This window comes from Homo sapiens, chromosome 5, assembly GCF_000001405.40.
Source record: "Homo sapiens chromosome 5, GRCh38.p14 Primary Assembly".
In the NCBI taxonomy this organism is placed as follows: domain Eukaryota; kingdom Metazoa; phylum Chordata; class Mammalia; order Primates; family Hominidae; genus Homo; species Homo sapiens.
In genome coordinates this window covers 123,235,522-123,261,343 of record NC_000005.10, presented here as the reverse complement: position 1 = coordinate 123,261,343, position 25,822 = coordinate 123,235,522, and the positions used below count along the sequence as shown (strand labels likewise).

At 39.8% G+C, this 25,822-nt stretch overlaps 1 pseudogene; it reads right to left on the bottom strand.

Moving 5' to 3' along the window:
* On the bottom strand, nucleotides 17,757–25,387 carry SUMO1P5 (SUMO1 pseudogene 5; annotated as a pseudogene).

Sequence of the window (25,822 nt, the reverse complement as noted above, 5' to 3'; positions counted from 1 at the left end):
TTACAAGATGGCTCCATCACCTTTTGTACTCAACTCCCTCTCTCACCTTGACTATTGGCAACCACTGAACTGTCTCTGCTCATATAGTTTGCTTTTCCCAGAATTAAAAAAAAATGTACAGTCAATTCCTCTACTTTTTATTTTCAGGTGACTTCAATTTCCTGTATTCTAATTATGAGAGGATTCGGTAAGCACACTATCACTCTAAATTTTCCAAACCCATCATTGAGAGTAAAAGTCATTTGGCTTCTTATCATAAAGCACACACTTGATCATTCAGGCCCAAAATATCAAATCCGTATCTTCTGATATTTGCATTTAATTCACTTATCTTTTGTGTAAGTGGATTTCACATGGATCTCCCATAGAGAGCTAATTGCAGCTCGCATTTAGCCATTAGATTCTCACATGTAATTTCTGTCAACATCCCTGGGAAGGGTGCAGCATGAACTAAAGGCAAAATTTATTTCACCCTCAAAGGTTAACCAGCACTTCCTTTCCAGTTTCCATTTTGTGTCAGAGCCCCTAGTAAGCTGATCTGACACAAAGGTGACAGCATTTCTTTTATTCCTTTGTTCCATTTAATTATTTTTAAAAGAGACATAAAAAAGTTTTAAGATTGCTTTCAGCACCTCCTTTTCAAATGCTATGTTCCAAGTTTAAGCCCGAACTTAAGTGTAATGAGATTGTTATCAACACCTGGCAGAAAAAAAAGCATCATGAATGAATATATTCAACCTCCCTCTTGACAAGACCACTTACATCTTCTCTTATGAAAGCGCAATATAGATTGTTTCTGTCTGCTTTTTATGCATATCATTTTCATAACCTACCTAGGTGTCTAAACCATTCTAGGGATTTCTGAGAAAACTGACTTCATTCTACAAATGCTGTGGAGGGAAAAAAATAGAAATGAGGAGTGGAAAGAATCACTCCACCTTTGTGCTCCCTTAGAAGTAACTTTGAGTTTTTGCCAGAAGCAATTAGAAGACACATTTCTGTTTGGGAAATACATATGCTCTATCAATGGAAGTCAGGAAGCAAGCATGATTATTTTCTTTAGTAATTTAGAAAAGACAGTTTTACATCATGCTTTAGGAATTAAAAAAGCCCCAAACCGTCCAGAAATTCAGAAATCATAAGAGGTAGCATACAAACAGACAGAGAAATGACTTTGTAAGGACTTTCATCATTTTAGCACACATTATTTTAAAGTGCTTAATGTACATATCACATGATAGTTTTAATTTACCATAATGTTTTTATGATATCAAATGAACAGAAACTCATCTTTTTCTATAAGGAACAAATCTAACACATACGCACAAAAATTAATTTTATAGCATAAAATGCAAAAAAGAAAAACCCAGTAAACAGCTGTGTGGTCTGTCATGTTTTAATTTAATAGTAATGCATTGTTTAACGATAGAGATACGTTCTAAGAAATGTGTTACTGTTGTCACTGTGCAAACATCATAGAGTGTATTTACACAAACCTAGATGATACAACCTACTACACACCTAGGCTAGATGTATAGCACATTGTTTCTAGGCTACAAACCAGTACAGCATGTGACTGCACTGAATACTGTAAGCAACTGTAACACAATGGTAAGTATTTGTATATCTAAGGTAAGTTTTTGTTCAGCAAACATATTGTTAAAAGATACAAAATGGTACACCTGTATAGGGCACTTAATGGAGCTTACAGGACTGGAAGTTGCTCTGGGTGAGTCAGTGAATGAGTGGTGAGTGAATGTGAAGGCCTAGGATAATACTGCTACCGTGGACTTTATGAACACTCTACACTTAGTCTACACTAAATTTATTTTTAAAACCTTCTTTCTTCATTAAATTAACCTTATCTTACTGTAACATTTTTTACTTCATAAACTTTTTAATTTTTTAAAACTTTTTGGAGTGGTCAGGCAAGATGGCCGAATAGGAACAGCTCTAGTCTGCAACTGCCTGCAAGATCCACGCAGAAGGCAGGTGATTTCTGCATTTCCAACTGAGGTACCTGGTTCATCTCACTGGGGCTGGTTGGACAGTGGGTGCAGCCCATGGAGGGTGAGCTGAAGCAGGGCAGGGAGTCGCCTCACCTGGGAAGTGCAAGGGGTTGGGGGATTTCCCTTTCCTAGCCAAGGGAAGCTGTGAGAGACTGTTCTGGGAGGAACGGTACACTCCTGCCCAGATACTGCGCTTTTCCCATGGTCTTCACAACTGGCAAACCAGGAGATTCCCTCCGCTGCCTGGCTCGGTGGGTCCCATGCCCATGAAGCCCAGCAAGCTAAGATCCATTGGCTTGAAATTCTCACTGCTGACGCAGCAGTCTGAGATCAACCTGGGACACTCGAGCTTGGTTGGGGGAGGGGTGTCCACCATTGCTGGGGCTTCAGTAGATGGTTTTATGCTCACAGTGTAAACAAAACTTCTGGGGAAGTCTGAACTGGGTGGAGCCCACCATAGCTCAGCAAGGCTAACTGCCTGTCTAGATTCCACCTCTGTGGGCAGGGCATCTCTGAACAGAAGGCATCAGCCCCAGTCAGGGACTTATAGATAAAATTCCCATCTCCCTGGGACAGATCACCTGGGGGAAGGGGCGGCTGTGGGCACAACTTCAGTAGACTTAAATGTCCCTGCCTGATAGCTCTGAAGAGAGCAGTCGTTCTCCCAGCACAGCGTTAAGAGCTCGGATAATGAACAGACTGCCTACTCAAGTGGGTCCCTGACCCCCGTGTAGCCTGACTGGGAGATACCTCCCAGTAGGGGCCAACAGACACCTCATACAGGAGAGCTCTGGCTGGCATCTAGTGGGTGCCCCTCTGGGACAAAGCTTCCAGAGGAAGGATCAGGCAGCAATATTTGTTGTTCTGCAGCCTCTGCTAGTGATACCTAGGCAAACAGAGTCTGGAGGGGACCTCCAGCAAACTCCAACAGAACTGCAGCAGAGAGGTCTGACTGTTAGAAGGAAAACTAACCAACAGAAAGGAATAGCATCAACATCAACAGAAAGGACGTCCGCAACAAAACCCCATCTGTAGGTCACCAACATCAAAGACCAAAGGTAGATAAAACCACAAAAATGGGGAGAAACCAGCGCAGAAAGGATGAAAATTCCAAAAACCAGAATGCCTTTTCTCCTCCAAAGGATAACAACTCCTCTCCAGCAAGGGAACAAAACTGGATGAAGAATGAGTTTGACAAATTGACAGAAGTACGCTTCAGAAGGTGGGTAATAACAAACAACTCCGAGCTAAAGGAGCATGTTCTAACCCAATTCAAGGAAGCTAAGAACCTTGACAAAAGATTAGACGAATTACTAACTATAATAACCATTGTAGAGAAGAACATAAACGACCTGATGGAGCTGAAAAACACAGCACCAGAACTTCGAGAAGCATACACAAGTTTCAATAGCCAAATCGATCAAGCGGAAGAAAGGATATCAGAGATTGAAGAGCAACCCAATGAAATAAAGTGTGACATCAAGATTAAAGAAAAAAGAGTGAAAAGAAATGAACAAAGCCTCCAAGAAATATGGGACTATGTGAAAAGACCAAATCTACATTTGATTGATATACCTGAAAGTGACAAGGAGAATGGAACCAAGTTGGAAAACACTCTTCAGGATATTATCCAGGAGAACTTCCCCAATCTAGCAAGGCAAGCCAACAGTCAAATTCAGAAAATACAGAGAACACCACAAAGATATTCCTCAAAAAGAGCAACTCCAAGACACATTAATTGTCAGATTCACCAAGGTTGAAACGAAGGAAAAAATGTTAAGGGTAGACAGAGAGAAAGGTCAGGTTACCAACAAAGGGAAGCCCATCAGACTAACAGCGGATCTTTCTGCAGAAACCCTACAAGCCAGAAGAGAGTAGGGGCCAATATTCAACATTCTTAAAGGAAGAATTTTCAACCCAGAATTTCATATCCAGCCAAACTAAGCTTCATAAGTGAAAGAGTAATAAAGTCCTTTACAGACAAGCAAATGCTGACAGATTATGTGACCACCAGGGCTGCCTTACAAGAGCTCCTGAAGGAAGCAGTAAATACGGAAAGGAAAAACCAGTACCAGCCACTGCAAAAACATGCCAAATTGTAAAGACCATCCATGCTATGAAGAAACTGCATCAACTAATGAGCAAAATAACCAGCTAGCATTATAATGGCAGAATAAAATTCACACATAACAATATGAATCTTAAATGTAAATGGGCTAACTGCCCCAATTAAAAGACACAGACTGGCAAATTAGATAAAGAGTCAAGACCAGAGGAGCCAAGATGGCCGAATAGGAACCGCTCCAGTCTACAGCTCCCAGCGTGAGCGACACAGAAGATAGGTGATTTCTGCATTTCCAACTGAGGTACTGGGTTCATCTCACTGGGGAGTGTCAGACAGTGTGTGCAGGACAGTGGGTGCAGCACACCATGTGTGAGCCAAAGCAGGGCGAGGCATTGCCTCACCTGGGAAGCGCAAGGGGTCAGGGAATTCTCTTTCCTAGTCAAAGAAAGGGGTGACAGACGGCACCTGGAAAATTGGGTCACTGCCACCATAATACTGCACTTTTCCAACGGTCTTAGCAAACAGCACACCAGGAGATTATATCCTGTGCCTGGCTCAGAGGGTCCTACACCCACAGAGCCTTGCTCATTGCTAGCACAGCAGTCTGAGATCAAACTGCAAGGTGGCAGCAAGGCTGGGGGAGGGGTGCCCGCCATTGCCAAGGCTTGAGTAGGTAAACAAAGTGGCCAGGAAGCTCAAACTGGGTGGAGCCCACCGCAGCTCAAAGAGGCCTGGCTGCTCTCTGTAGACTCTTCCTCTGGGGGCAGGGCATAGCCAAACAAAAGGCAGCAGAAACCTCTGCAGACTTAAATGTCCCTGGCTGACAGCTTTGAAGAGAGTAGTGGTTCCCCCAGCATGCAGCTGGAGATCTGAGGATGGACAGACTGCCTCCTCAAGTGGGTCCCTGACCCCTGAGGAGCCTAACTGGGAGGCATCCCCCAGTAGGGGCAGACTGACACCTCACATGGCCGGTACTCCTCTGAGACAAAACTTCCAGAGGACCGATCAGGCAGCAACATTTGCTGTTCACCAGTATCTGCTGTTCTGCAGCCTCCGCTGCTGATACCCAGGCAAATGGTCTGGAGTGGACCTCCAGCAAACTCCAACAGACCTGCAGCTGAGGGTCCTGACTGTTAGAAGGAAAACTAACAAACAGAAAGGACATCCACACCAAAACCCCATCTGTACGTCACCATCATCAAAGACCAAAGGTAGATAAAACCACAAAGATGGGGGAAAAACAGAGCAGAAAAACTGGAAACTCTAAAAATCAGAACACCTGTCCGTCTCCAAGGGAACTCAGCTTCTCACCAGCAATGGAACAAAGCTGGACGGAGAATAACTTTGACAAGTTGAGAGAAGAAGGCTTCAGATGATCAAACTACTCTGAGTTAAGGAGGAAGTTCAAACCCACAGCAAAGAAGTTAAAAACCTTGAAAAAAATTAGATAAATGACTAACTAGAGTAACCAATGCAGAGAAGTCTTTAAAAGACCTTATGGAGCTGAAAACCATGGCACGAGAACTACGTGACAAATGCACAAGCCTCAGTAGCCAATTCAATCAACTGGAAGAAAGGGTATCAGTGATGGAAGATCAAATGAATGAAATGAAGTGAGAAGAGAAGTTTAGAGAAAAAAGAATAAAAAGAAACGAACAAAGCCTCCAAGAAATATGGGACTATGTGAAAAGACCAAATCTATGTCTGATTGGTGTACCTGAAAGAGACGGGGAGAATGGATCCAAGTTGGAAAACACTCTGCAGGATATTATCCAGGAGAACTTCCCCAATCTAGCAAGGCAGGCCAACATTCAAATTCAGGAAATGCAGAGAACAATGCCACAAAGATACTCCTCGAGAAGAGCAACTCCAAGACACATAATTGACAGATTCACCAAAGCTGAAATGAAGGAAAAAAATGTTAAGGACAGCCAGAGAGAAAGGTCGGGTTACCCACAAAGGGAAGCCCATCAGACTAACAGCTGATCTCTTGGCAGAGACTCTACAAGCCAGAAGAGAGCGGGGGCCAATATTCAACATTCTTAAAGGAAAGAATTTTCAACCCAGAATTTCATATCCAGCCAAACTAAGCTTCATAAGTGAAGGAGAAATAAAATACTTTACAGAAAAGCAAATGCTGAGAGATTTTATCACCACCAGGCCTGCCCTAAAAGAACTCCTGAAGGAAGCACTAAACATGGAAAGGAACAACTGGTACCAGCCACTGCAAAAACATGCCAAATTGTAAAGACCATCAAGGCTAGGAAGAAACTGCATCAACTAATGAGCAAAATAACCAGCTAACATCATAATGACAGGATTAAATTCACACATAACAATATTAACCTTAAATGTAAATGGGCTAAATGCTCCAATTAAAAGACACAGACTGGCAAATTGGATAAAGAGTCAAGACCTGTCAGTGTGCTGTATTCAGAAAACCCATATCACGTGCAGAGACACACACAGGCTCAAAACAAAGGGATGGAAGAAGATCTACCAAGCAAATGGAAAACAAAAAAAGGCAGGAATTGCAATCCTAGTCTCTGATAAAACAGACTTTAAACCAACAAAGATCAAAAGAGACAAAGAAGGCCATTACATAATGGTAAAGGGATCAATTCAACAAGAAGAGCTAACTATCCTAAATATTATATGCACCCAATACAGGAGCACCCAGATTCATAAAGCAAGTCGTTAGAGACTTACAAGGAGACTTAGACTCCCACACAATAATAATGGGAGACTTTAACACCCCACTGTCAACATTAGACAGATCAACGAGTCAGAAAGTTAAAAATGATATCCAGGAATTGAACTTAGCTCTGCACCAAGTGGACCTAATAGACATCTACAGAACTCTCCACCCCAAATCAACAGAATATACATTCTTCTCAGCACCACATCACACTTATTCCAAAACTGACCACATAGTTGGAAGTAAAGCATTCTTTAGCATATGCTAAAGAACAGAAATTATAACAAACTGTCTCTCAGACCACAGTGCAATCAAACTAGAACTCAGGATTAAGAAACTCACTCAAAACCACTCAACTAATGGAAACTGAACACCCTGCTCCTGAATGACTACTGGGTACATAATGAAATGAAGGCAGAAATAAAGATGTTCTTTGAAACCAACAAGAACAAAGACACAACATACCAGAATCTCTGGGACATATTTAAAGCAGCGTGTAGAGGGAAATTTATAGCACTAAATGCCCACAAGAGAAAGCAGGAAAGATCTAAAATTAACACCCTAACATCACGATTAAAAGAACTAGAGAAGCAAGAGCAAACACATTCAAAAGCTAGCAGAAGACAAGAAATAACTAAGATCAGAGCAGAACTGAAGGAGATAGAGACACAAAATACTCTTCAAAAAATCAATGAATCCAGGAGCTGGTTTTTTTAAAAGATCAGCAAAATTGATAGACCGCTAGCAAGACTAATAAAGAAGAAAAGAGAGAAGAATCAAATAGATGCAATAAAAAATGATAAAGGGGATATCACCACCGATCCCACAGAAATACAAACTACCATCAGAGAATACCATAAACACCTCTATGCAAATAAACTAGAAAATCTAGAAGAAATGGATAAATTCCTGGACACATACACCCTCCCAAGACTAAACCAGGAAGAAGCTGAATCCCTGAATAGACCAATAACAGGCTCTGAAATTGAGGCAATAATTAATAGCCTACCAACCAAAAAAAGTCCAGGAACAGACGGATTCACTGCCAAATTCTACCAGAGGTATAAGGAGGAGCTGGTACCATTCCTTCTGAAACTATTCCAATCAATAGAAAAAGAGGAAATCCTCCCTAACTCATTTTATGAGGCCAGCATCATCCTGATACCAAAGCCTGACAGAGACACAACAAAAAAAGAGAATTTTAGACAAATATCCCCGATGAACATTGATGCAAAAATCCTCAATAAAACACTGGCAAACCGAATCCAGCAGCACATCAAAAAGCTTATCCACCATGATCAAGTGGGCTTCATCCCTGCAATGCAAGACTGGTTCAACACATGCAAATCAATAAACGTAATCCAGCATATAAATAGAACCAAAGACAAAAACCACATGATTATCTCAATAGATGCAGAAAAGGCCTTTGACAAAATTCAACAGCCCTTCATGCTAAAACCTCTCAATAAATTAGGTATTGATGGGATGTATCTCAAAATAATAAGAGCTATTTATGACAAACCCACAGCCAATATCATACTGAATGGGCAAAAACTGGAAGCATTCCCTTTGAAAACTGGCACAAGATAAAGATGCCCTCTCTCACCACTCCTATTCAACATAGTGTTGGAAGTTCTGGCCAGGGCAATCAGGCAGGAGAAGGAAATAAAGGGTATTCAATTAGGAAAAGAGGAAGTCAAATTGTCCCTGTTTGCAGATGACATGATTGTATATTTAGAAAACCCCATCGTCTCAGACCAAAATCTCCTTAAGCTGATAAGCAACTTCAGCAAAGTCTCAGGATACAAAATCAATGTGCTAAACTCACAAGCATTCTTATACACCAATAACAGACAAACAGAGAGCCAAATCATGAGTGAAGTCCCATTCACAATTGCTTCAAAGAGAATAAAATACCTAGGAATCCAACTTACAAGGGATGTGAAGGACCTCTTCAAGGAGAACTACAAACCACTGCTCAAAGAAATAAAAGAGGACACAACATTCCATGCTCATGGATAGGAAGAATCAATATCGTGAAAATGGCCATACTGCCCAAGGTAATTTATAGATTCAATGCCATCCCCATCAAGCTACCAATGACTTTCTTCACAGAATTGGAAAAAACTACTTTGAGATTCATATGGAACCAAAAAAGAGCCCACATTGCCAAGACAATCCTAAGCCAAAAGAACAAAGCTAGAGACATCATGCAACCTAACTTCAAACTATACTACATGGCTACAGTAACCAAAACAGCATGGTACTGGTACCAGAGATGTAGACCAATGGAACAGAACAGAGCCTTCAGAAATAATACCACACATCTACAACCATCTGATCTTTGACAAACCTGACAAAACCAAGAAATGGGGAAAGGATTCCCTATTTAACGAATAGTGCTGGGAAAACTGGCTAGCCATATGTAGAAAGCTGAAACTAGATCCCTTCTTTATACCTTATACAAAAATTAATTCAAGATGGATTAAAGACTTAAACATTAGACCTAAAACCATAAGAACCCTAGAAGAAAACCTAGGCAATACCATTCAGGACATAGGCATGGGCAAAGACTTCATGTCTAAAATACCAAAAGCAATGGCAACAAAAGCCAAAATTGACAAATGGGATCTAATTAAACTAAAGAGCTTCTGCACAGCAAAAGAAACTACCATCAGAGTGAGCAGGCAACCTACAGAATGGGAGAAAATTTTTGCAATCTACTCACCTGACAAAGGGCTAATATCCAGAATCTACAAAAAACTCAAACAAATTTACAAGAAAAAAACAAACGACCTCATCAACAATTGGGCGAAGGATATGAACAGACACTTCTCAAAAGAAGACATTTATGCAGTCAAAACACACATGAAAAAAATGCTCATCATCACTGGCCATCAGAGAAATGCAAATCAAAACCACAGTGAGATACTATCTCACACCAGTTAGAATGGCGATCATTAAATAGTCAGGAAACAACAGGTGCTGGAGAGGATATGGAGAAATAGGAACACTTTTACACTGTTGGTGGGACTGTTAACTAGTTCAACCATTGTGGAAGACAGTGTGGCGATTCCTCAGGGATCTAGAACTAGAAATACCATTTGACCCAGCCATCCCATTAGTGGGTATATACCCAAAGGAATATAAATCATGCTGCCTTAAAGACACATGCACACGTATGTTTATTGTGGCACTATTCACAATAGCAAAGACTTGGAACCAACCCAAATGTACATCAATGATAGACTGGATTAAGAAAATGTGGCACATATACACCATGGAATACTATGCAGCCATAAAAAAGGATGAGTTCATATCCTTTGTAGCGACATGGATGAAGCTGGAAACCATCATTCTCAGCAAACTATCGCAAGGACAAAAAACCAATCACCGCATGTTCTCACTCATAGGTGGAAATTGAACAATGATAACACTTGGACACAAGAAGGGGAACATCACATACTGGGGCCTGTCATGGGGTGGGGGGAGAGGGGAGGGATAGTATTAGGAGACATACTTAATGTAAATGACGAGTTAATGAGTGCAGCACACCAACATGGCACATGTATGCATATGTAACAAACCTGCACGTTGTGCACATGTACCCTAGAACTTAAAGTGTAACACACAAAAAAATTAAAAAAAGAAAATGTGGCACATATACACCATGGAATACTATGCAGCCATAAGAAAGAATGAGTTAATGAGTTAATGTCCTTTGGAGGGACATGGATGTATCTGGAAAACATCATTCTCAGCAAAGTAACACAAGAAGAGAAAAAACCAAACACTGCATGTTCTCACTCATAAGTGGGAGCTGAACAATGAGAACACATGGACACAAGGAGGGGAACATCACACACTGGGGCCTGTCAGGGGGTAGGGGGCTGGAGGAGGGATAGCATTGGGAGAAATACCTAATGTAAACGACGAGTTAATGAGTGCAGCACACCAACATGGCACATGTATACATATGTAACAAACCTGCACATTGTGCACATGTACCTCAGAACTTAAAGTATAATAATACAAAAAAACTTTTTGACTCTTGCAATACTTACTATAAAGTTATTTTAAAAATACAAATACATTGTACAGCTGTAAAAAAAAGTTTTTTTCTTTATGTCCTTATTCGATAAACTTTTTCTTCTAATTTTTTTTGTTTTACTTTTTAAAATTTTTGTTTAAAACTAAAACACACCATTAGCCTAGGCCTACACAGGGTCAGGATCATCAATATCACTGTCATCCACCTCTACATCTTGTCCCATTGGAAAGTCTTCAGGGGCAATAGCAGTTCCATTATAATCTCATAGTATCACCATCATAGATGTGGTTCATCATGGACCAAAACATTGTTATGTAGCACATGACTCAGTCATGCCACTTATCATAGAGTGTGCTTACACCGACCTAGATGGAATAGATATTTTTATTTATATATTTTTAATATGGAAAACCAAATGTCTCAGGGCCATTGCTGAATATCAATTTCCCCTACTTGTTCTGCAATGCCAATATCAACTGTGACATATCAGGTTTCTATATATGTTCTACTATAATCTTATGGGACCACCGTCATACATGTGATCCATTGTTGACTGAAATACCACTACGTAGCACATGATTGTACGTATAGCTTTACATGATTTTTAAATCTTTAATATGAAAATTGTATTTGTATGCATTCTTTAGATAAAGCAAGAAGCAGTTTAATGTATTTTTTAAAACTGGAAGCCAAAATAATCAGCTCCTTATCTACATTCCCATTATAACACTTTGGACTTTTAAAATTTACACATATGGTCTACTTGAATATGCAAGCAAATACATCCCTGCAAAGAAAAGACAAATATTTATGTACAAATAAATAGTGTTTTAGCGAACAGGCACTCAGATGTGAGAGCTGATGTTTTATGGCTTGACTCTTAGCCTCAATAAAACATGCTCAAGAGGCAGCATTTTTCTTTAGGGATAAGTCATAACTTTGCCATAGAGGGCTATTAGGAGACCATTTACTGACATGGGACTGAACCTACAATTCCCACAGAGAAATGTTATTTTAAAAGGAAGGCTAATATAGGAGATTTTCGGGAAAATCCCCCCTGGAGACCTGAAGTTCCCCTGGTGCCAGGCATGTAATGCCAATTTTCCTTATTGAAATAGACAACATCTTGTTGCAGCAATTGTTCTTAAGTGAGATGTAGCATAAGCACATCACTTCTGCATGTACAGTATCTGCAGGTCTACACTTTGGAAGACTAGTAACATGAAATTGCAGGCTGTTTTTAGAGCTCTTCTGGCTTGCATGAGAGAATGTTTATTTCTTTATCTGTATATGGAGAGACATGTCGTTTAGTTTAAGGTCAAATAATATCTCCTAGGGGGAAGACCTGATTAACTGTCTAATGGGATTGAGTCCTTGGGGCTAGTAAATCAATTTCATCATAAAACTGCAACTTCTGCCCTCTAATGCTCCAGAGTGGTTTTAAAAAGTGGCCAGGGCCCTCTCCCCTCCATCAGTAGCTGGACCTGTGATAAGAACTTCAGGGCATAGATTCATCTGGCAGCTCCCTTCTCCTGTCTTCATCCAAACATGGAATCAGGCCCTAGGGAAGTGTATCATTTTTTTTGTCAGGGGACTAAAAGCAATATGGGTAATAACCGTTAATTGGACATTGTATTTAATATAGAATAAAGCTGGTAAAACCCTTTGTCTAGTTCCTCTATATCACTTGATCTGCTGAAATTTCTTTTCTGTGCTTTGAAAACAGCCAAAACACAGACTAGCTAGAGGGAAGCAACCTTGATTTGGCCCAGCCTTCTAGCTCATCGGAAACCATGTAATAAACATGGTAGGCAGGATCTCAAACACTGGGCAGAGCTTATCATCAGTCAGTGTTTACTGAAGAGTGAGCAAGAGGAAATGAGCTAAAGTCACAGTATGAAACTTTGGGTTTCATGTAAGATATAATTGGAAAATATCTTACATTTACATATGGGACTCCGTTTTCCAAATCATTATCTTGTTTGATCCATCCAGCAACCCATCATGGGAAGAAGGGGGCTTATGATGACTGTTAAGTTTACCATAAGGGCACTAAAGAGATTCTTCACTTTCTTCTCAATAGACAAACTCCTTGCAGAGTTCATCTACTCCTATGACTAACATTCCAAAAACAACAGCTAACATTTTTTGAGTGTTTACTATGTGCAAGTTATTCTGCTTCGTGCTTTACATGCATTTATCTAACTTATTCCTCTCAACACCTGTGAGATATACATAGGATGGCATAGAAGTGATAGATAAGACAAATGATGTCCTTTAATTGAAACATCTCTGGGCTCAGAGTCTGATTAAAAGTGTAGGTGCACAGGTAGTATGGCTTACAGGTAACCTAAAGGAAACCTAGAGGCAGCCTGCTTGCCCTTGAAGCCCATCTTCACCTCCCAGTTCTCTGATCTTTGGCATGTTACTCAATCATTGTTACCTTCCCTTTCCTCATCTGTTTAAATGTGGATTAAGCCTCACTGAGTTTTGAGTGGATTGAAGGAGTTTATACAAATAACCCGCTTGGAGCAGTGCTTAGCACATAATTAGTGCCCCGTTAAGTGTCAGTAACATTATTTTTACTTCTTGCTGGATGCCATTGGACACACCACTTTACCTCTCTGAACCTCAAGGTTCTTACCTAAGAAAATACTTATATTAATACTTGTTTACCTCGTAGGCTTAATAGGTATAATATATATGAAAATGAAAATAGTATTTTAATTATATAATTTTAGAGTGATTTGGTATCATTTTATGACTTCCAAGTTTGTCTCTAGCCCTGACCAGTCTCCTAAGATATACTCCTGAATTTTCTACTGACCATTTTCATGTGGAATGAAAAGGCATTAATTCCTTGATTTATTCTCTAAATAAATACTAAGCAGTTGCTCTGGGCCAAAAGGTGGGACATAGAGAAAAACATGCGGTATGTGTTCTCAAAGAGTTTGCAATCCTGGAGTAGACACACACAAGAAACCAATGTTAACAACACAGTATCCTAAATGTTATGAATGACGAGACTAAAGGAAGAAGACTCAGCTTGCAGGGGACAGAGGGACCACAAAATGCCCCACAGGAGGTAGCATTTCAACATCACTATGGCCCAAAACAACCTTGCGGTCGATATAATCATCCTTTCTTTCTCTATATGTCTTTTTAAAAAAATGTGAATTTATATCTGTCTCAAATGCCTTATGATGGCTTGCTATATACAACAGGAACAATGGCTAAGGCCCTTTCGAATAATTTCTTTATGTTGTAACTCTATTAGGGTTGGGCTTAAAGGATATGAAGAATCAAGCAACTCATCATAAACCTTCAACCACAATTTGTTTGGCAGGCAAAAATCTAGATTCTTTCAAACAGGTTTCAGAAAATGGAGTCTATGGCCATTCTTTCATTAGGTATCTTAATAACTTGATAATTAGCCAGAAAGAGTCATGGAATGATTATTTTTAACACACCTGATATCTCATTCCACCATTTCAAGACTTACCCCAGTGTTTCTCAATTTCTTTCTTGGAAGTGTACTAACGGCAGCCAACAGGAGCCAGGTATCCTTACAGGGCCTGGGCGGAGCTTGGGACCATCCACAAACACAATATTTTTTGAAGTTTCAAGATTACTGTGGATTTTGTAGCCTAAGCCATAAGCTACACATACTTATGTAAATATCCTATTATTTTACATCTTATACTATTTAACAATATAAGATTATTTTCTCTCCAAATCTGGTTTCATTTCTTAGTACTTTTTTTTTCAGTCATAAAAGCTATGTCATTGTGGGAAATTAGAAAACTACATCAAATTACAAATTTAAAATTAAGCGTTTCTGGCTGGGCATGGTGGCTCATGCCTGTAATCCCAGCACTTTGGGAGGCTGAGGTGGGCAGATCACCTGAGGTCAAGAGTTCGAGACCAGCCTGGCCAACATGGTGAAACCCCATCTCTACTAAAAATACAAAAATTAGCTGGGTGTCGTGGCACATGCCTGTAATCGCAGCTACTTGGGATGCTGAGGCAGGAGAATCACTTGAACCCGGGAGGTGGAGGTTGCAGTGAGCCGAGATCGTGCCATTGCACTCCAGCCTGGGCGACAGAGTGAGACTCTGTCTCAAACAAACAAACAAAAATTAAATTAAGCTTTTCTATAATATAATTCCCAAACTACTAACCATTGTTGGTGCTTTTCCTTCTAAGTATTGTAATATACAGATATAAATATATAATTATGTAAATACATACATACAATTTGAAGTCATCTCTATATCTTTCAGGGTCATATCCTGCTTTTTTTTTTTAACTTAACAGTAATTATTTGATGATTTGGTGCACATTTTTATTTAATGGTTTGATGAGTGTAAAAGTTTAAAGTACAGGATCTATAGCTTGGATTTGAATCCAAACTTAGCTCATTTACTAGCCTTGGGCTCCTCATCTATAAATGGAAGTTAATAATATTGCCTTCTGCAGACAGTTGTAAGAATGAAACGATTTAATGTATGTGAAGTGCTTAGACACAGCCTGGCACAGAGTGAAGGCCTAGATAAGGGTTAGTGCAATTTCTTCTAAATGATTTCAGAAGCTACTTTTGTCATATACTGAATTCCCTTATGTATTTTGGTCTGCTTCCAGATGTTCTGTTTTCTTCCATTGACAGCAATCTATTTAAGTAGCCAAACTACCTTGTTTTACATGTTCTTTATACAAAGAGGCCAAACTGGTGTAGCTAATTCTCTTGATTACTCTTCTTTTTCAGGATTTTTCTGGCTATTTTTGTGGTCCATTTTCCACATGAACTTTAGAATAACTTGCTTAATTAAAATACTTTTAATATTTGCCTTTAAATTGCATTTGTGGAATATCTGAATATATGAGCCTTTACAATGCTCTTATAACTTATTGCTCTTCATTTTCATTATATACGCCTTTATTTTTATCTTAGTCTACTCTATTATAGGGGCCTTTTTCTACCATAGTGGCTCCCAGCTCAGATACCTAGTTATTTCTTAAAAATTTGCTCTCAAACTTGACATTAAAAAAGAGAGAGAAAAAGAGAAACAACATTCTGGCATTTAGAAAGCAGCATCTATGCAGCTACGCACCAGGTAGCATTCCCAAGTATGCCCCTTGGAACTGGTGTTGTAGGATGTTAACAGGTTGTATTTTGCAGAAAAAATAAGGAGTTGTGTGATTAAACACATTTAGAAATTCTAAGTTAAACACAACTAAATACATTTTTTACTCTGTAAGAACATCCAGAAACTTTAATACTGGTAATTTTTTTTCTGATTCTCTAAAAGGAGATATATTTTGCATAAGGGCCCAAATTTTGGCTATGTGAGCTTTTCTAGAAGAAACAACTCTTCATAATTAAGCTCCTGGATATACTGGTTTGGGAAACTCTGCCGAAAGGGGCTGCCTCCAAGATTTTGGTACCGAAGGTGACTTCTTTTTCCTCTTTCTATAAGCACTGTTCAAAGAGGTGGACTAATGGTTTTAAAATCTAGGATAATTGATCTTAAATCTAAATGAAATTCCTCTCAGATTTGGTCTGTGGGTTGACTGAGTTCCCCTTTCTGATGATGATGCGCATTTTCGTTTCTTTCAATGTCTTTGTGTGTGTTTCAGTGGGAAGTCGGGAGAGAATAAACTGGTCAAATGCTGACCTAAATGAGAAACCTGGTCTCATATTCCATCAGTTACACACTCGACTAACTTAACACTAAGTCTGAATTGTTGACTAACACAGAGCAAATGGTTCCTAAAATTTACAGCGAATGTATTTTTAAAACTCAACATTTGATAGAGAATACTTTTTCTCCTTCAGGGAATTTTTATTATTTAAACAAAACAACAGCCTGCACAAGTATTAGGCAATGTACCAAAATAAAGGGTTTCTTTTTTTCTTTTCTTTTTTCTTTTTGGCAGGAGAGAAATTATTTTCATGTAGTCATTTGTTGGACCTTGGGGTAAAATTATATTTCATAGTTCCCTTGTTCCCAGGCTGTGGTTAAAAAAAAAAGAGATTGATGTCTGAAATTTCAAGTGTATTTGTCTTACAAATTTGTTTGATTCTCTTGAGAATAATTATCTCATATCATTTGAAGGTTAGTAACTCCTTAGGAATGACCCTTCTGTTATAATTAGTAACTTACATGCAGCTAAGAAAAGTGAAAGTTAATGGACTTAGTTTCTTGCATTGCTGTTTTATTAAACTGCTAATCTTTGAAACAAATAACAGTCCTAGAGACACTGCTCAGTGGAGTAATCATGTTTCCTTTCATTTGCTGAGAATAGGTAATGTGGACATAGATGGTAACATAACAATGGTCAGTAAGAAAAACCTCATTATATAATACTACATCTATATATACAAGGGAAAGGTGTGTCCAATGGCTGTTGGGAGGAACTTCCAATGATTTCTTCTTTCCCAATTTCCCAGACATTAGATTCAAGACTTCAGTGGAACAGGAAAGAAGGAAAAAACAAAGGTAGAAAGGAAGGGAGAGGAAATACAAAAAAAGAAAGAAAAAAATGATCTTATAAATGGCGAATCCAGAAAGTCACAATCCTTTAATAAGAAACCAAAAATAGAAAGAAGGAAAAGAAAAGAAAAATTTAAAAAAGACTTAGCTTCATGTAACCCACTCACAACATTGGTCAATGTATAAGCTAGAAAAAATGGTATGTGAATTTGAAAGAGTCTTCAAGTTCCCAACAGAGGATGGGAGCAACCTACCTTTGGGACTTTGAATGAAGTGGTTCTTTTCTGAGTCTTAGGTGAAGATTACAGTTTAATGTTAGATCTTTGCATACACTGAGATTTCTCCATAGTCACAGGCTGTTGGTCATATGCCCTCAGGACACCAAGAAAACTCTTTAACCCAGCCACAAGATAAATGGATTATTTTTCTTTTTTTACAGTTTTTACAAATATTGTTTAATAAAGCAGGTACAGACAACGTCCACTTAAAACCCATAGCCCAGGCCAAAAATTACAAATAAAATAAAGAAGAACAGTATTCTGTTGTATTCATTTCTACATGAAAACTTTTTAAATTGCTAATGAGAATTAGAACTTTTCTGGGATCTTCTGACAAGATTTTTTGAGATGGGGTCTCGTTCTGTCACCCAGGCTGGAGTGCAGTGGCATGATCTTGGCTCACTGCAAACTTTGCCTCCCAGGTTCAAGCGATTCTCCTGCCTCAGCCTCCAAAGTAGCTGAGACTACAGGTGTGCACCACCACACCCAGATAATTTTTTTTTTTGTATTTTTAGTAGAGATGGGGTTTTGCCATATTGGCCAGGTTGGTCTCGAACTCCTGAGCCCGAGCAATCCACCTGCCTCGACCTCTCAAAATGCTGAGACTACACGCATGAACCACCATGCCCGGCCCTAACAAGATTTTTAAAAAAATCTTAAAATGCCTTTTCTTCAATGAAGCCATCTTTGGAGTTAGACATTACTCTCACTTTATCTGTCATCTTGACTTCAACCTGATATTCCTCTTCTTTTGGTCCAGACCCTCAAATTTTTGAAGTAGCTTCAAGTTAAGAAAAGGTCATTTTTCCTCAGTCCAGTTCTCTGAAAAATTTCTACCTCCCACTGAAAGTCATAATCCAGGAGTGAAGCCATCACATGCTAGAACTTCAGGGCCAACTGGAGAGTCCTTATGAACCCTTGGATTGGTCAATCTCGTTTATCACCAAAAGCCCAAAAACGCATGGTTCTGAGAAAGCTGGTCTCTCTGTGCACATGTGTACTATTTTAAAAGAGGGGGCAATACAAAGGGGATGGGGCTTGATCACCAAAAGTCAGCACAATGAAAACAAACAATAATGGATAATGAGCACTAGAATTCAAATTAGCAGCTGTTTTAAAAAGATGGGTTTCCAGGAGCCAAGATGGCCGAATAGGAACAGCTCCGGTCTACAGCTCCCAGCGTGAGTGACGCAGAAGACGGGTGATTTCTGCATTTCCATCTGAGGTACCGGGTTCATCTCACTAGGGAGTGCCAGACAGTGGGCGCAGGTCAGTGGGTGCACGCACCGTGTGCGAGCCGAAGCAGGGCGAGGCATTGCCTCACTTGGGAAGTGCAAGGGGTCAGGGAGTTCCCTTTCCGAGTCAAAGAAAGGGGTGGAAAATCGGGTCACACCCACCCGAATACTGCGCTATTCCGACAGGCTTAAAAAACGGCGCATCACGAGATTATATCCCGCACCTGGCTTGGAGGGTTCTACCCCACAGAGTCTCGCTGATTGCTAGCACAGCAGTCTGAGATCAAACTGCAAGGCGGCAGCGAGGCTGGGGGAGGGGCGCCCGCCATTGCCCAGGCTTGCTTAGGTAAACAAAGCAGCCCGGAAGCTCCAACTGGGTGGAGCCCACCACAGCTCAAGGAGGCCTGCCTGCCTCTGTAGGCTCCACCTCTGGGGGCAGGGCACAGACAAACAAAAAGACAGCAGTAACCTCTGCAGACTTAAATGTCCCTGTCTGACAGCTTTGAAGAGAGCAGTGGTTCTCCCAGCACGCAGCTGGAGATCTGAGAACGGGCAGACTGCCTCCTCAAGTGGGTCCCTGACCCCTGACCCCTGAGCAGCCTAACTGGGAGGCACCTCCCCAGCAGGGGCACACTGACACCTCACACGACAGGGTATTCCAACAGACCTGCAGCTGAAGGGTCCTGTCTGTTAGAAGGAAAACTAACAAACAGAAAGGACATCCACACCAAAAACCCATCTGTATATCACCATCAAAGACCAAAAGTAGATAAAACCACAAAGATGGGGAAAAAACAGAACAGAAAAACTGGAAACTCTAAAACGCAGAGCGCCTCTCCTCCTCCAAAGGAACGCAGTTCCTCACCAGCAACGGAACAAAGCTGGATGGAGAATGACTTTGACGAGCTGAGAGAAGAAGGCTTCAGACGATCAAATTACTCTGAGCTACGTGAGGACATTCAAACCAAAGGCAAAGAAGTTGAAAACTTTGAAAAAAATTTAGAAGAATGTATAACTAGAATAACCAATACAGAGAAGTGCTTAAAGGAGCTGATGGAGCTGAAAACCAAGGCTCTAGAACTACGTGAAGAACACAGAAGCCTCAGGAGCCAATGTGATCAACTGGAAGAAAGCGTATCAGCAATGGAAGATGAAATGAATGAAATGAAGCGAGAAGGGAAGTTTAGAGAAAAAAGAATAAAAAGAAATGAGCAAAGCCTCCAAGAAATATGGGACTGTGTGAAAAGACCAAATCTACGTCTGATTGGTGTACCTGAAAGTGATGGGGAGAATGGAACCAAGTTGGAAAACACTCTGCAGGATATTATCCAGGAGAACTTCCCCAATCTAGCAAGGCAGGCCAACGTTCAGATTCCGGAAATACAGAGAACGCCACAAAGATACTCCTCGAGAAGAGCAACTCCAAGACACATAATTGTCAGATTCACCAAAGTTGAAATGAAGGAAAAAATGTTAAGGGCAGCCAGAGAGAAAGGTCGGGTTACCCTCAAAGGAAAGCCCATCAGACTAACAGCGGATCTCTCGGCAGAAACCCTACAAGCCAGAAGAGAGTGGGGGCCAATATTCAACATTCTTAAAGACAAGAATTTTCAACCCAGAATTTCATATCCAGCCAAACTAAGCTTCATAAGTGAAGGAGAAATAAAATACTTTACAGAAAAGCAAATGCTGAGAGATTTTGTCATCACCAGGCCTGCCCTAAAAGAGCTCCTGAAGGAAGCGCTAAACATGGAAAGGAACAACCGGTACCAGCCGCTGCAAAATCATGCCAAAACGTAAAGACCATCAAGACTAGGAAGAAACTGCATCAACTAACGAGCAAAATAACCAGCTAACATCATAATGACAGGATTAAATTCACACATAACAATATTAACTTTAAATGTAAATGGACTAAATGCTCCAATTAAAAGACACAGACTGGCAAATTGGATAAAGAGTCAAGACCCATCAGTGTGCTGTATTCAGGAAACCCATCTCACGTGCAGAGACACACATAGGCTCAAAATAAAGGGATAGAGGAAGATCTACCAAGCAAATGGAAAACAAAAAAAAGGCAGGGGTTGCAATCCTAGTCTCTGATAAAACAGACTTTAAACCAACAAAGATCAAAAGAGACAAAGAAGGCCATTACATAATGGTAAAGGGATCAATTCAACAAGAAGAGCTAACTATCCTAAATATATATGCACCCAATACAGGAGCACCAAGATTCACAAAGCAAGTCCTGAGTGACCTACAAAGAGACTTAGACACCCACACATTAATAATGGGAGACTTTAACACCCCACTGTCAACATTAGACAGATCAACGAGACAGAAAGTCAACAAGGATACCCAGGAATTGAACTCAGCTCTGCACCAAGCAGACCTGATAGACATTTACAGAATTCTCCACCCCAAATCAACAGAATATACATTTTTTTCAGCACCACACCACATCTATTCCAAAATTGACTACATACTTGGAAGTAAAGCTCTCCTCAGCAAATGAAAAAGAACAGAAATTATAACAAACTATCTCTCAGACCACAGTGCAATCAAACTAGAACTCAGGATTAAGAATCTCACCCAAAACCGCTCAACTACATGGAAACTGAACAACCTGCTCCTGAATGACTACTGGGTACATAATGAAATGAAGGCAGAAATAAAGATGTTCTTTGAAACCAACAAGAACAAAGACACAACATACCAGAATCTCTGGGACACATTCAAAGCAGTGTGTAGAGGGAAATTTATAGCACTAAATGCCCACAAGAGAAAGTAGGAAAGATCCAAAATTGACACCCTAACATCACAATTAAAAGAACTAGAAAAGCAAGAGCAAACACATTCAAAAGCTAGCAGAAGGCAAGAAATAACCAAAATCAGAGCAGAACTGAAGGAAATAGAGACACAAAAAACCCTTCAAAAAATTAATGAATCCAGGAGCTGGTTTTTTTGAAAGGATCAACAAAATTGATAGACTGCTAGCAAGACTAATAAAGAAAAAAAGAGAGAAGAATCTAATACATGCAATAAAAAATGATAAAGGGGATATCACCACCAATCCCACAGAAATACAAACTACCATCAGAGAATACTACAAACACCTCTACGCAAATAAACTAGAAAATCTAGAAGAAATGGATAAATTCCTGGACACCCTCCCAAGACTAAACCAGGAAGAAGTTGAATCTCTGAATAGACCGATAACAGGAGCTGAAATTGTGGCAATAATCAATAGCTTACCAACCAAAAAGAGTCCAGGACCAGATGGATTCACAGCTGAATTCTACCAGAGGTACAAGGAGGAACTGGTACCATTCCTTCTGAAACTATTCCAATCAATAGAAAAAGACAGAATCCTCCCTAACTCATTTTATGAGGCCAGCATCATTCTGACACCAAAGCCAGGCAGAGACACAACAAAAAAAGAGAATTTTAGACCAATATCCTTGATGAACATTGATGCAAAAATCCTCAATAAAATACTGGCAGACCAAATCCAGCAGCACATCAAAAAGCTTATCCGCCATGATCAAGTGGGCTTCATCCCTGGGATGCAAGGCTGGTTCAATATACGCAAACCCATAAATGTAATCCAGCATATAAACAGAGCCAAAGACAAAAACCACATGATTATCTCAATAGATGCAGAAAAAGCCTTTGACAAAATTCAACAACCCTTCATGCTAAAAACTCTCAATAAATTAGGTATTGATGGGACGTATTTCAAAATAATAAGAGCTATCTATGACAAACCCACAGCCAATATCATACTGAATGGGCAAAAACTGGAAGCATTCCCTTTGAAAACTGGCACAAAACAGGGATGCCCTCTCTCACCACTCCTATTCAACATAGTGTTGGAAGTTCTGGCCAGGGCAATCAGGCAGGAGAAGGAAATAAAGGGTATTCAATTAGGAAAAGAGGAAGTCAAATTGTCCCTGTTTGCAGAGGACATGATTGTATATCTAGAAAACCCCATTGTCTCAGCCCAAAATCTCCTTAAGCTGATAAGCAACTTCAGCAAAGTCTCAGGATACAAAATCAATGTACAAAAATCACAAGCATTCTTATACACCAGCAACAGACAAACAGAGAGCCAAATCATGAGTGAACTCCCATTCACAATTGCTTCAAAGAGAATAAAATACCTAGGAATCCAACTTACAAGGGATGTGAAGGACCTCTTCAAGGAGAACTACAAACCACTGCTCAAGGAAATAAAAGAGGATACAAACAAATGGAAGAACATTCCATGCTCATGGGTAGGAAGAATCAATATCGTGAAAATGGCCATACTGCCCAAGGTAATTTACAGATTCAATGCCATCCCCATCAAGCTACCAATGACTTTCTTCACAGAATTGGAAAAAACTACTTTAAAGTTCATATGGAACCAAAAAAGAGCCCGCATCGCCAAGTCAATCCTAAGCCAAAAGAACAAAGCTGGAGGCATCACACTACCTGACTTCAAACTATACTACAAGGCTACAGTAACCAAAACAGCATGGTACTGGTACCAAAACAGATATATAGATCAATGGAACAGAACAGAGCCCTCAGAAATAACGCTGCATATCTACAGCTATCTGATCTTTGACAAACCTGAGAAAAACAAGCAATGGGGAAAGGATTCCCTATTTAATAAATGGTGCTGGGAGAACTGGCTAGCCATATGTAGAAAGCTGAAACTGGATCCCTTCCTTACACCTGATACAAAAATCAATTCAAGATGGATTAAAGACTTAAATGTTAGACCTAAAACCATAAAAACCCTAGAAGAAAACCTAGGCATTACCATTCAGGACATAGGCATGGGCAAGGACTTCATGTCTAAAACACCAAAAGCAATGGCAACAAAAGACAAAATTGACAAATGGGATCTAATTAAACTAAAGAGCTTCTGCACAGCAAAAGAAACTACCATCAGAGTGAACAGGCAACCTACAAAATGGGAGAAAATTTTCGCAACCTACTCATCTGACAAAGGGCTAATATCCAGAATCTACAATGAACTCAAACAAATTGACAAGAAAAAAACAAACAACCCCATCAAAAAGTGGGCGAAGTACATGAACAGACACTTCTCAAAAGAAGACATTTATGCAGTCAAAAAACACATGAAAAAATGCTCATCATCACTGGCCATCAGAGAAATGCAAATCAAAACCACAATGAGATACCATCTCACACCAGTTAGAATGGCGATCATTAAAAAGTCAGGAAACAACAGGTGCTGGAGAGGATGTGGAGAAATAGGAACACTTTTACACTGTTGGTGGGACTGTAAACTAGTTCAACCATTGTGGAAGTCAGTGTGGCGATTCCTCAGGGATCTAGAACTAGAAATACCATTTGACCCAGCCATCCCATTACTGGGTATATACCCAAAGGACTATAAATCATGCTGCTATAAAGACACATGCACACGTATGTTTATTGCGGCATTATTCACAATAGCAAAGACTTGGAACCAACCCAAATGTCCAACAATGATAGACTGGATTAAGAAAATGTGGCACATATACACCATGGAATACTATGCAGCCATAAAAAATGATGAGTTCATGTCCTTTGTAGGGACATGGATGAAATTGGAAAACATCATTCTCAGTAAACTATCGCAAGAACAAAAAACCAAACACCGCATATTCTCACTCATAGGTGGGAATTGAACAATGAGATCACATGGACACAGGAAGGGGAATATCACACTCTGGGGACTGTTGTGGGGTGGGGGGAGGGGGAGGGATAGCATTGGGAGATATACCTAATGCTAGATGACGAGTTAGTGGGTGCAGTGCACCAGCGTGGCACATGTGTACATATGTAACTAACCTGCACAATGTGCACATGTACCCTAAAACTTAAAGTATAATAAAAAAAAAAAGATAAAAAACAAAAAAACAAAAAAAAAAGAAATAACCATGAAAATAGCTAACTAGCAGCCCTCAGGGCTGCTCTGCCTACGGGGTTGCCATTCTTTTGTTTCTCCACTTCTCTAATAAACTTGCTTTCATTTAAAAAAAAAAAAAAAAGATGGGTTTCCAGTCTCAATTTCATTTTGAACACATTACAAAAACATTTTTAAAGATTGAGGGCAGAAGAAAAATAATAAAAAGAATATCTAAACTGTTGAATGACCCCATTGGTTCCTGATAAATTTCAATCACGTATTCTTCCTCCATTCCCATTTCTTTCGAAATATGATTATCAGCACTTCTCTGACTTTCAAAGAGAAACCCGAGTAAATTCATTGGACCGCTCTTTGACAGTATAATTCTTTGAGTTTCTTGATATGTGTTGTCATTTTCTCTTTGAAGTGAATCTCACTGTTATCCCATCTAATGACTTTGAGTTTAATGTATTTTGTTTCCTTCTTATTCCCTAAGTCCTCAGTTGAAGGTTTTGCCTCCTGGTCAATGGCGACAATGGTTTCACCCAGGGGATCTCCACACGGCAGCAGCCTCGGGTAGGGAGAACCTCGCTCCGGGGTTGACAAATCCATCTTCCTTCCCCATGGGACAACACCACAGCAGCCATAAATGAATTCTTTTCCTATGTGTCCTTAAGTTCAAATAAAAAGCTCAACTATGGAATGCATTATTCACTGTCGTTTATCTTATGGGTTTCAACAATTTAATGTAGGATCCATAAATAGTTCTAATCATCAGATAAAAAACTAAGACTTAGTAGAAACATCGAATGGATGGCATCTACTTTCATCTCCCACTTCATAAGGGGATGTCCTTTCATGCCAGGTAGGTACTAGCCTGTTGTGCTTAAGCTGATACAGTATTTCTCCAGGTCATGATGGTATCTGGCTGTAGACCCTATCTATTAGGATGAGCTTTTAAAGACCATACATGGGACCTGCATCAGTTGAAGAGTAGTTAGTGAGAACTTTTCATAAAGGACTGGTCCTCCATTTAAAACAAAAGCTCTTTCCCAGGGCAAAATGAATCAGTAAGAAAACTCCA